We start from the raw sequence: 12,759 nt of genomic DNA on the forward strand, positions 1-12,759 counted from the left end.
CACTGTGAACTTCATTTAAGAGATCCCTAAAATTTCACTGTGGTGAACAGCACTTTTATGAATCTTGTCATAAAACAAATAGCTCTAACAAGCAAACTAAAATAACAACAATTCTTAGATACAGAACATAAACAATTTTTTTTTTGCAATACAGGAAAACAGCTAAATTTTGCTCCAAAAGAACTCAAAGAAGTTAAAATGTAATTTGTTTGCTGAGGAAGATTTGCTGAAAGCTAATTATCTCTTAATGGAAACAAGATACTGGAGTGTTGCTTTCTCTGAGAGGAATGGTTTTGGTGCAACCTACTGTAAAATTAAGGAGAGAGAAAAGGGCAGTGCTCAGGGGAGTTAACACTTCCCTCCCAATGAAACTGCACCAACATGGCAAACAATTTACCTTTCTGCTATACACTCAATAATAAACTAGATCCACCAGGGCAGTACTGTTTTTTTAAAAAAAAATCCTGGTCATGTACAATGCAGATTTGATTATGCTCGTCCCTCACTTGAAAGGGAACAATAAATACCCAATGGTAATATGACTAAGTTTTGAGGGCTTCCAGCAACTAAGAATTCTATAAAATAAGAATAAACACATAAAAATCATAATGCTCCACTTAACATAGGATGGTTTAATGTTCTAATAGTTATTACATGGTACTCTAAACTCATAATATATACAAACAAAATTAAAACGCATATCCTTCAAACAACATGATGCTGTTGGATACAATTAATAAGCAAGTTAAGTTTGTAACAAATGGTTCATGGTTATTTTTACATATTTGGAAATCTATCTGCACAAACAATTAAGGCACTCTACTCTTGATGTACATCTATAGTTGACCATTTTGCCTCAAAACCACTGATACCCTGTAATCCCAGCACTTTAAGAGGCCGAGGTGGGTGGACCATGAGGTTAGGAGTTCAAGACCAGCCTGGCCAAGATGGTGAAACCCCATCTCTACTAAAAATACAAAAATTACCAGGTGTGGTGGCAGACGCCTGTAATCCCAGCTACTCAGGAGGCAGAGGCAGAGAATTACTTGAACCCAGGAAGTGAAGGTTACAGTGAGCTGAGATCACACCACTGCACTGCAGCCTAGGTGACAAAGCGAGACTCCATCTCATTAAAAAAAAAAAAAAAAACACACACCACTGATACCAAATAACTGGGGATGATCTCTAAAGTTAATGAGTTGCCATTTTAGGCACTTGCCAAAATCAGGGGTGACATTCCCCAGCATTAGGCCTAATTTTCTTTTGGTTACAGTAAGCAAATAAACAGACCACTTACAAAAATTGACCATATATTAGGCCAAAGCAAATAATAAGACAGAAATAGAACAAAAAATATTACCTGATCACAATGCAATGAAACTAGAAATTAATATCAAAGACTTAATCGTCACATAAGGGAATGGCAAAGATCACATATACACTAATTTGATAAAGGTTTTGAATTAATAGGCACTTGTACACAGATGGTGGACAGAAAACTGGCACAACTTAGATTGGGGAAAATTTGGCAACATCTCTCAAAATTACAAATACTTACACCAGTGGTTCTCAAACTTGTTTGCACATTTAACAGATGGGGAGCGTCTAATTACTGATGCCAGTGTCTAGCCCTAGAGATTGTGATTTAATTGGCCTAGGGTATGGCCTGGACTTCAAATTTTTAAAAAGCTCCCCAAGTGATACTAATGTACAGCCAAGTTTGGAAATCGCTTGCTTAAATATCTTTTGATAAGCAATTCCACGTCTCATTTATGGTGCACATATATTCACACATATGATCAATGTCCTATTTCATTAACTGTAGCTTTGTTTTGTAACACCAAAAGATTAGGAAAGAACAAATATTCACCTAAAGGGGACTTGTTAAATCAATATGTAATATTGATAAAATGCAACGCTATGTATCTGTTTAAAGGAGTGGCACAGATAGTATATGAATTACATTTCAATAAAACTGTTAATTTTTAAAAGAGGTCCAGAAATGGTATAGACAGCATGCTACTGTGTATGTGAAAAACAGTACACACACACACACACACACACACACACACATATATACTGGCAGCAGTGGTTCTCTGTGGAGGAATAATTGCTTTTCTCTGTATACCCTTCAAATACTGAAGTTCTGAACATGTTATGTATTAACTCTGAAAAATAAATTTTTAAAATTAAAATGAAATATAAAACCAATGTAGTCATATTCCCCAATCAAACAGAATTTTTATGAGGTAACATTCAAAGCGGCACAAGGGAACTTTTTGGAATGATAGAAACCCTCTTTATTTTGATTGTGATAGTAGTTTACATAATTGTGTACCATTTTCAAAACTCATAGAACTGTATACCTCAAATGAGTGATTTTAATCCATGTAAATTATATCTCAATAAACCTGTTTATTTATTTATTTAAAGCTTACATGACACCCGAGGCCTCTTGAACAATGCTGATAGAAATGTAAATTGGTACAACCCACCTGGAAAACTCCTTTGTGGTACAGTGTATCTGTTGGATCTGGTTTACCAAAAGCCTTCGGACTCAGCATTTTCACCTCTGCATAGGAATATTCATGGCTGCACTATTCATGACAGCAAAAATACGGAACCCAGACTTTGTTAAAAGTAAAATGGATTGGGCAACTGTGGTGTATTTGTGCAATGGAAAGCCAAGAGAAGAGGATTTGGTTTGAAAAGTAGCATTGCCCAGACCAACGAACTATTGGCAAAGGGCATAAGCAGAAAAAGATACACACACATTCCTTGACCATATGAAGTGGTAGTCATTCTTACTTGTAAGAGAAATACATGTTAAAATTACTCTGAAATAACTCATTTCAACTGCCACAATGGCAACATTGCAAAGTTTAATGAGTTTTGATGGCAAGACTTGCAGAGAAGTAAGCATCCTCAGATATGTCCTTTGGAGGCATAAAATAGTAAACCCAAGGGAAAGAAATTTGGCCATATTAAAAAAAAAAAAAGTTCAGTGTATTTCTCCTTTGATACATCAATACATTTATAGGAATTATCCTATAAGATATACATTCATATGTACAAAATAACACATTTATGAGAGTATTCATTATTTGCAATTACACAAGATTAGAAACAAGTCTATCAATTAGACACTAGAAAAGTTATAATACATCCATGCAATGGAAGATCTTACCACTGTAAAACCCAATGTAGAAGCTCTCTATGTATTGATACAGAAGCAAATCTAGAGGACAGTTTAGTGAAAAAAAAATCAAAGGGCAGAAAAACATATGTAACATGCTGGTTGTGTATAAAAGAAACAAAAGAGGCTGGGCAAGGTGGCTCACGCCTGTAATACCACCACTTTGGGAGGGCAAGGTGGGCGTATCACCTGAGGTCGGGAGTTCGAGACCAGCCTGACCAACATGGAGAAACCCTGTCTCTACTAAAAAATACAAAAACAAATTAGTGGGGTGTGGTGACTCATGCCTGTAATCCCAGCTACTCGGGAGGCTGAGGCAGGAGAATAGCTTGAACCCAGGAAGCGGAGGTTGTGATGAGCCGAGATTGTGCCATTGCACACCAGCCTGTGGCAACAAGAGTGAAACTCCGTCTCAAAAAAAAAAGAAGAGAGAAAAGAAAAAATATTTATTCACATTAGCTTGCATTTGGATACATAATGAATAAAAATACTTAACCATAGGGGAAGATGAGGAAAGAACAGAATAAACAGAGAAAGAAATGAGACTTCTCAGTATCTACCTTTTTAAAAATACTGTTCTTTTTTCTCCCACTAAAAATCAATTACTCATTCCAAAATGTTAGACTTAAAATGCATTCTTAAAAATCCATTTAGGGAAATAAAACAAATTCAAAAGTCTAATTACTTTTTCCTTCTTCATCCCTTCCTTAAGGTATGTAAAAATGGACTTTGCAAGTTGCACACATGTTGCTAGGACCTCCCTTTGAAGTAAGGGGGACAATAATTGGTCTTTAATGCATTGCTCTTGATCCCCTTGACCTTTGGAGCCTCAGCCATAACTGACATGAGGCAAGACTTATTTTAACGCTGTTTTTCAAGAAAAGCCAAACAGAATCCAGAAAGAGACTGCAAATAAGACACAGGTATCCAGAAAGAGCTCACAAATAAGACAAAGGTAGCATTTAATGGGGAGAGGGGTGGTAAATAAGTAATTTCAGTCAACAAAATGATTTAGATATCTTTGTATATCAATATTCAAACTGTATCTTGCCTTTTTAAACTGTTAGTGTTCTATATTATGGCTATATCATAGTTTATGTTTTACTTATATAAAATTGTATAAATTTTATACAATTTTATCATTTTTAAAATTATTTGCCTTAGTAGAATTTTATTTGTGTATATGTGAGTTTTTCTCTAGAACAAATCCTTCGAAGTAGAATTGAAGGTTGAAGGCTGTGTACCTTTACACTTTAATTAAATACAGTGAACAAATATTCAAAGAGATTCACTGTTATCAGTAGTTAGGTGAATGCAAATAAAATGAGATCCCATTTTCATTCATTAGTTTGGCAAAGATATTGGCAAGAGTATGAATAAATATGATATGAAAAGATCTCCAAATCATTTTGATAAGTGAAAAAGCAAACTTCATAGATACAGAATGATACTATCTAGGTTTTTTTTTAGTCAATCACCACGAAGTGAATTTATTTCAGTATTTATGTGTGTGTGTGCGTGCCCACATGTACACAGGTATATACACATATGTGTGTGTATACTCGTATACATACACACATATATATACATACAGATAGGCAGGCAGATAGACAGATAGATAGATAGATGATAGATAGATAGATAGATAAATAGATAGATAAATAGATAGATAATAGACAGACAGACAGAATTTAAGTAGCCAGAAGAAATTCAGGAGGACATACACCAAAATAATAACAATTACTACCCCTAGGGGAGAAACCTGTGAGGCAGAGGGTGTGGGGGATGGAGAAGCCAAGGAGATCTCTCGATTTTATTGTTAGAATTTAAGGCAAAAACAGTATATTCAAATATTACTTGTTCAATCAAAACAAAAAAATACAAAAACTATTCCACTAAATTCTGCTTGTAAACTTTTTTAAAAACTAGAGTAAACGGACTTCTAAACCTAGTCTCTAATCACTTTTAAGATAAAAAAGATTCTATAGAGGCCAAATAACTGTTTCTACTTCTCTAGGGTTTTTCTCTTCAATATGAGGAAATTAAGCTGAATAGAGTTGGCAAGAAGGAAAAGGAGTCTAGAAAACGTGACATGTGGAATGAGCCAAAGTTACATTTAAAAAAGTAATTGCAATCTGTTCAATCTAATGAAAGGATAAAATTAGGATACAGTATTCGCACATGATGTCAAAAGTCCAGGAAATATATAACTATCTGAATTTTTATGCAACTTCTAATACAGATTCACTCTTTAGAATTAAATTTCTTCTTCAGGAATGGAGAACAATCCCTTCTGAGTGAGGAATTTGGAAGGCTCATTGCTCAGGCTCTCTAAAAGGCTATAGAAACACTGAAGCAAACACTTTGCTTCCAATTGGCAAAGATAAAAAGGGTATTAACTTAGGGCTCCCCGGATTCTTTTGCAACATGGCTCAGAATAGATGGTAGTATTTGCATGGCATCCTTTGGAAATGGATGAGGGAAGGTAATAGGCTCGAGAACTACTACAGCCCCAGCACTGTATAACCCAAAAACCGTGAGCAACTTGTCACCAGTGACTCAGTCACGGCAAATCTATGTGCCCTGACACACCCACTGGGATGAGTGTTTTGGATATGAGTACTTTTTAAAAACAGCCTTTCTTGTTTGCTAGTAACAACAGTCACAGTGGCTCATAATAATGCAATACTTTCTGTGACTGGACAGCAGACCAGAGGAAATCAAGATGGTTGGGGCTATGTGATTTAGTTATTTGCTAAAGACCAACTGGTAGGTCTGGAGATGCACTGCACCTACAGATGGTATTCAAACCCCAAAAGGTCCTCAGATACCACCTGTACAAGAAAAGTAGTTTTCTTGTTTGAAAGCAAAAAGAACCTCTTTCTTTCTCCTTTCTTCCCCTTCTGTGGACCTCTCAGACAAACTAATCTTTACAAAACTAAAAACATCCCAGCAACTAGTTCTAAAGAAATTTGGCATCATCATATTCAGTACCTTCAATAAAGATAAAAGCTCTCTACCACTTAAAAATAAAAAATAAAAAAAAAAAGTATGTCGGCCGGGCGGGGTGGCTCATGACTGTAATCCCAGCACTTTGGGAGGCCGAGGTGGGTGGATAACCTGAGGTCAGGAGTTCGAGACCAGCCTGGCCAACATGGTGAAACCCCATCTCTACTAAAAATACAAAAATTAGCTGGGCATGGCGGCGGGCACCTGTAATCCCAGCTACTCGGGAGGCTGAGGCAGAAGAATCGCTTGAACCCAGGAGGTGGAGGTTGCAGTGAGCCAAGATCACACCATTGCACTACAGCCTGGGTGACAGAGTAAGACTCCATCTCAAAAAAAAAAAGAAAAGTATGTCAACTACATAAAATGGTAGCAAATAACAGTTGATAAATACTATTGAGATTTAATAAACTGCTCAGTACAAAATGAGGCACCAATTTTTAAAGTACATATATTGTTTCATCTCTTAAAAGAAGTTATCATTTTAAAGCAGCATGCATTCCACAGTATGCTGACTCTAATAAGAATTAAAAATATGAGAACGAGAGTCAAAACAGCATAAATGACAGATATTACAATCCATGAAACTTAAAAAAATGACGATTTTGACAACTCAAACATTAGTCTTTTGGAATCTCATCTTTAATAACATTTTCACAACACATAAAATTCATTTTATAGGTGAGACACAAGAAAAAGAAATTTGAACTTCCAGTACCTTGTGAAAGTTGGGTTGTGTTCAGTCATCGCGACTAGCAGTTTCAGAGCATATGCTGGTACTGGGTCAGGTTCTAAAAGAATGTGCTCATACCTGAAATGGTAAAGACATTTAAAAAATACTCAGTAGGAAAAATTATGTCCAACCTTGAATTCTATATCCAGCCAAACTATCAATTTAGCTTAAGACAGAAAGATATTTTACACACTAATAAAGATTTAAGTAATTTACCTCTCATGTGCCCCTTCTCAGAAAGTTACTGGCAAATATGCTCTATTGAAATAAGAGAATAAACCAAATATAGAAAGACAAAAGGAAAAACAACTCAGTAGTTGTCCTCACTTAAATGCTACTCTCAACAATAGAAATAATATACCATAAGGTACAAGCATCTGAAAAATCTGAAAAACATACAGACTCTGAAATAAATTTATGAGTTACAGGACCTACACAGGTTACTTAACCTCATGAAGTCTGAAACAACTTCACTTTCCAACGCTGATAATGATACTCACTTACTTCATAAAATATTGCTGTTGGGAAGATTCAGTGAGATAATCCATGTAAAACAACTAGTATTGAGCTAGGCATATAGTAAGAGATCAATAAACATTAGGCATCTGTGTTGAAGGTCTCCAAGAACACCCTCACATTCAGAGACTCGCTAGAGAATTCACAGGACTCAGCATGGCTAAGATGTAGCACAGCAACATAGTAAAGCCACCTCTGAATCATATGGGAAAGGGTGCACGCGGAGGACTAGAGGATGTCATGTGCCGGTTTCCTTATGTCCTCTGTCTTCCATGAGGGGTCACACGCAGCACACTCTTCCCCCAGCAATCAAAATGCAGCACGTGTGTGTGATGTTTCTGCCCAAGGAAGTCTATGAGTACTCAATGGCCAAAGTTTTTATGAGGGGATGGTCATGTAGGCAACCTCTATCTAAAATGTATCAAAATTCCAGATTCCCGGAAGGAAAGCAGCTGTGTTCAGCATAAACCAGACTGTCTGCTCAAACAGTTGAGGCACAGTGGACTACCCTTATCAGCTGTTAACTGGGTACATTGCACTCTGACAGCCAAGTTCCTAGATGTCTAGCCAATTACAATATTTTGTTTACAAAATTTTTGTAAACAAAAAATTTTATGGATAGCAGTATCAGGCCTGCTATGTTAACTCTTTTCTGCACAGCATTCTTATTATTAATACTTGAAAATCCTAAATTAAATTTATTACCAAAGAGAATAAAACTCAAAATGTTTTCATCACAATTTCCACAACAAAATTTTCCCAAGATTGTTTTCCCATGTGATTTGCTAGGCAGAGGCTGGTTTATGTACTATGTCTTACCTATTTGAGGTTTGCTCTCCAGTATGCAGCACTGTGTAGATGCTCAATAAACAAGCATCAAATGAATAAATGAACAAACTAACCAATTTTATTATTTACTTCTCTGGAATAGCCAACAACTAAAAAGGAAGAAAAATATCTCTAAAATTCCTAACTGGATATTTTAAAAATCTATGATATAAAACAGATGCCTTTCATCTAGAGAATAGGGCCCCATGCTTACTCAGAGCTTATTTACTCTCATTTTGGAAATCATTGTATAACAAGCCTAATTATATAGCCTGTAAGCCCACAACCATTAAAAAGGAGCTAAGTAAAGAAAAGAGACGGACTATTACAGGAAGGCAACCAATGAATTGTAAGAAGTAGGACTTGAAAGCATAAGAAAAACAAAAAAAAGCAGTCCCAAGAACCCCAAGCAAAGAATAGTCTGTGGAGCATTTAATACAGAGTAAGAAATTGCTCATACTCAAATGGGACCTGAGAGCCCACTACACACCATAATGTTCAAAACTGGGGTAATGAGTCAAGACAATGTTAAGTGGAATACAGTGTTCCGTTTAAGAAGTCAGCAAATGTCACATTTTAGAAAATTTGCTTAAATTTTAAAATTATAGTAGTTAAAAGATTTGCCCATGTATAAAACATACAGTATAATCAAGCGTAATTTCAAGAATGAAAAAAATCAATCTTAGGAAATGAGTTAATATATTTTATCATATAAATAAAACAAATATCAAGCAAAAATCTTTAGGGATAATAAAAATGTCTGATAAAATCTAACGTCTACTTAAAATTTTGTTTAAAAAAAGACACAACTTAGCATACTGGAGAGAGATCATTAGTTCCTTTCTCCATGAATTCTTATGAAATAAAAGGTTCTTGCCATCTTGAGTAAAGAGTATGTAAGAATATTCTCAAAGTGTAATGATTTGCTAGAAGGACTCACAAAACTCAGAAAACTTGTTATACTCCCAACTATGGTTTATTACAGTGAAAGGATGCAGATTAAAATCAGCAAAGAGAAGAGACGCATAGGGCAGAGACAAGGAAAGACCAGGACAAGCTTCCAGCTGTCATCTCCCAGTGGAGTTGTACAGTGTTTACTCCTCCCAGTAGCAATGTGTGGCAACACTGGTGAAGTACTTACTACCAACCAGAGAAGCTCACCTGAGCCTTGGTGTCCAGGGTTTTTATTGGAGGTTGGTCATGTAGGCATGGACCACTTGTGGAACTGACCTTAGTTTCCCAGTCTCTAGCTCCTCCAGAGGTCAAGCTGATGTGTTGTAGCCCAAGGCCCCCATCATAACTCACAATGTTACTACCATAAATTATCAGGCATGGCTCAAGGTCTCATGTATTCGAAGGCACTCTTACCAGGGAGGATATTCCAACTGCTAGGAAGTTATCTCCCAGGTGGCAGTCAAGGACCAGTTTCTTTAGAATGTGCAAAGTCTGAACACCCTACACATGATGAGTTAACCCTTTATAGCATACATCCCTAAGAAGGAAACTGAGAGGCACTGTCATTAAAGTCAGAAATAAAATAAGAATCCTCTTCCACTGCTTACCAGTATTTGGAAATTGTCTGGCCAGACAGAATCAAATTGAAGTGATGGTGAGAAACTTCTGATGAGTCCTTCGTGTACCCTGGATAACCAGCTCTCCTTGTTCCCACTCCAAGACATACTTGAATTACAGAAGGACGGACCCACAAGCCTATGAATTTTTATAAAGCTTCCCAAGTGACTGTCTTATTCACATGCTTGTGTGGAAATCACAAGAGGAAATATGGACAACTACTACTTAGAAATATAACAGAAAAAAACATTCTCAATAGGGCTAGAAAATATATCTTAAAATAGACTTGAAAGATACAGAATCTAAATTTAAAAAGAAAACATTGGCCAGGGATAGTGGCTCACACCTGTAATCCCAGCACTTTGGGAGGCCAAGGTGGGAGAATTACATGAGTCCAGGAGTTGAGACCAGCCTGGACAACATCGTGAGACCCTGTCTATAAAAAAAGAAAAAAAAATTATTTTTAAATAATTGGGTGCAAGGGCACAAACCTATAGTACTAGCTATTCAGGAGGCTGAGGTGGGAGGATTGCTTGAGCCCAGGCATTTAAGGCTGCAGTGAGCTACGATGGCACCAGTACACTTCAGCCTAGGTGACAGAGCAAGACTCTGTCTCTAAAAAAAAAAAAGAAAAACACACACACAAAAAAAACACTGCTGAAACATTACTGACTGAAATCAAAGTGTCTTGAGGTCGTTTGAAGTTATCTAACCTTGAAACAGGAGGGAAGAATAAAGCTTATACTAGCTTGTGCATAAGAATTTTCATAAAGAATATCGTTCTGTTTTCCTCCTGTTGGAAAAAATGAAGGGCAAAATTCATAATGGGCATGTTTAGAATATAGATATTGAATATATTTTAGTTTAATCAAATGATAGGTTTATAATGGTCAGCAAGATCTAGCCAAAAGTAGGCTGTGATTTATTAAGCTCGTCTTTGAAAGAGCAGCTAGTAATTGAGTCCTGCACTCCTTTGAATGCAACTTAGCAGAAAAAAATATATAGTGATGAGCCCTGACTCTTGAAATGGCCTCAGGGAAGACTAACCAGTGAAGAGCTGGCCCATTCTGATGGACTAGGGGCTGGAGAGGAGCACTCCTAGTGCCCTGAGGCTGGCCAGAGACTAAGATCACTGTTGACATAACAGTACCCTGTCCAGACAGTATCCCTGAACCTCACACTTCTTCCTCTAGGATCTTCTCTAACCAAGATGTCTTTGCTAGGGGCCAAAGCAGCAGAGATCCAGGCAGGAAAGACCATTCACACTAAATTCAGATCCATTCCAAAGAAGAGAAAATCCCTTTAAAAAATCACATATTCGGGACCTAAGGCAAGAATTTGAAGAGACAGTCCCCAACTCTTAATTCTTCATTACCAATCCTATAATTAATAAATCCCTATCTTGTCAAGTGCCTGGTATAGACAGTGCCCAATTAGGTTATCTGGGAGAAAACTGAAACTCGCTATCTAAATAACTCTGGATAATCATGAGAAAATATTCTGAGGTATGTGATGAAACAATTGGTCAAGTGAAGGAAAGTGTCTCCAATTTTGTTGAGAGGAGGGAGAAGGAACTGTATAATAAAGAAGTCCATTCTGCAGGGATTAAGTCAGAGACTCAAATTTTCATCTCAACAGAGTGTGCTCTGAGAATTTGAAGGAGTGATTCCAGAATAATCAGCAAACTTTAGGGTTTGAGGAATCTTCCTACAATGAGGAAGATTCTGCTAAATGAAAGGCTAGACTACATTATAAAACCACAATAATTATTACATATAAAGAATACACGTATACAGTCATGTGCCACATAATGACATTTTTGGTCAACAACAGATGGCATATACAATAGTGATCATATAAAAATTTTTTTCTGTACCTTTTCTGTGTTTGGATACATAAAATCTTACCATTGTGTTACAGTTGCCTGCAGTATTCAGTGCAGTAACATGCTGCATAGGTTTGCAGCCTGGGAGCAACAGGCTATACCATACAGCCTAGGTGTGTAGTAAGCTGTGCCACCTAGGTTTGTATAAGGTAAACTCTATGATGTTTGCACAATGATAAAACTGCCTAATGATGCATTTCTCAGAAGGTACTCCCACATGGCACATGACTATAAATCAAAAGAAAAGAAAGGTAACACCTAGAACTGGACAGGAAAGAGTAAATTTAGAAAGGGAGTTAGGCTGGTTAGACCATATCTCAAGAAAATGTATCTCTAATAAACTAAAATTTTAAGGAAAAAATTTTGACTTTATTAGAATACCAAAAATGAGTAAATTGTTGGGTAAGAAGGCCTCTTTAGCATAACAAATGTAAAATGAATGAGAAAAATACTTATACTCTTAAAGTTTTTAAGTTAAATATTTCTCAATGGCAAAACCACCATAAACAAACCAAATGAGGAAAAGATAACTTGCAGAATGTGGGTAAAACAAAAAAGTTAATATTCTTACTATATAAAGAGCTTTTGCAAATCAATAAACAAACCACAGAAAAATGGACAAAATTCACAGAGAAGGAAATAAATGGCCAAGAAGCATCGGGAAGAAATGGTCTACTTCATCAACATCTGGAGGAATGCAAATTAGAGCTAAGAAGGGTACAATAAAATGGGCAGTTTCATAAAGGGAAGCTGGTAATATAAACTGTTCTTCCTGTGTAAAAATATTGGCAGAATGTATTAAATACCTTTAAAATGCATATAATTTTAAGGGTCGGGGGGAGAGACAGGGTCTCCCTTTGTTGCCCAGGCTGGAGTGCAGTGGCAAGATCGTAGCTCACTGCAGCCTCAACCTTCCAGGCTCAAAGGATCCCCCAACCTCAGCCCAGGTCCCTCCCCACTCCCACCCCAAAGTAGCTGAGACCATAGGCTCATGCAAACTAATTGTTTTATTTCTTGTAGAGA

General features: G+C 36.6%; 1 protein-coding gene across 6 annotated transcripts in view; it reads right to left on the bottom strand.

Annotated features, from left to right (window-relative positions):
* The window catches only part of ULK4 (unc-51 like kinase 4), a 715,505-nt gene that overhangs the window by 410,088 nt on the left and 292,658 nt on the right, over positions 1–12,759 (bottom strand). For all 6 annotated transcript variants that reach the window (NR_136342.2, NM_001322501.2, NM_017886.4 and 3 more), the window contains one exon: positions 6,921–7,013. Coding sequence is in view for 5 of the 6 variants with exons in the window: in NM_001322501.2 (NP_001309430.1) it covers positions 6,921–7,013 (93 nt within the window). In the remaining variant the exon portion in view is untranslated. The remainder of the gene's footprint in view (positions 1–6,920; positions 7,014–12,759) is intronic.

This window comes from Homo sapiens, chromosome 3, assembly GCF_000001405.40.
Source record: "Homo sapiens chromosome 3, GRCh38.p14 Primary Assembly".
NCBI lineage: Eukaryota > Metazoa > Chordata > Mammalia > Primates > Hominidae > Homo > Homo sapiens.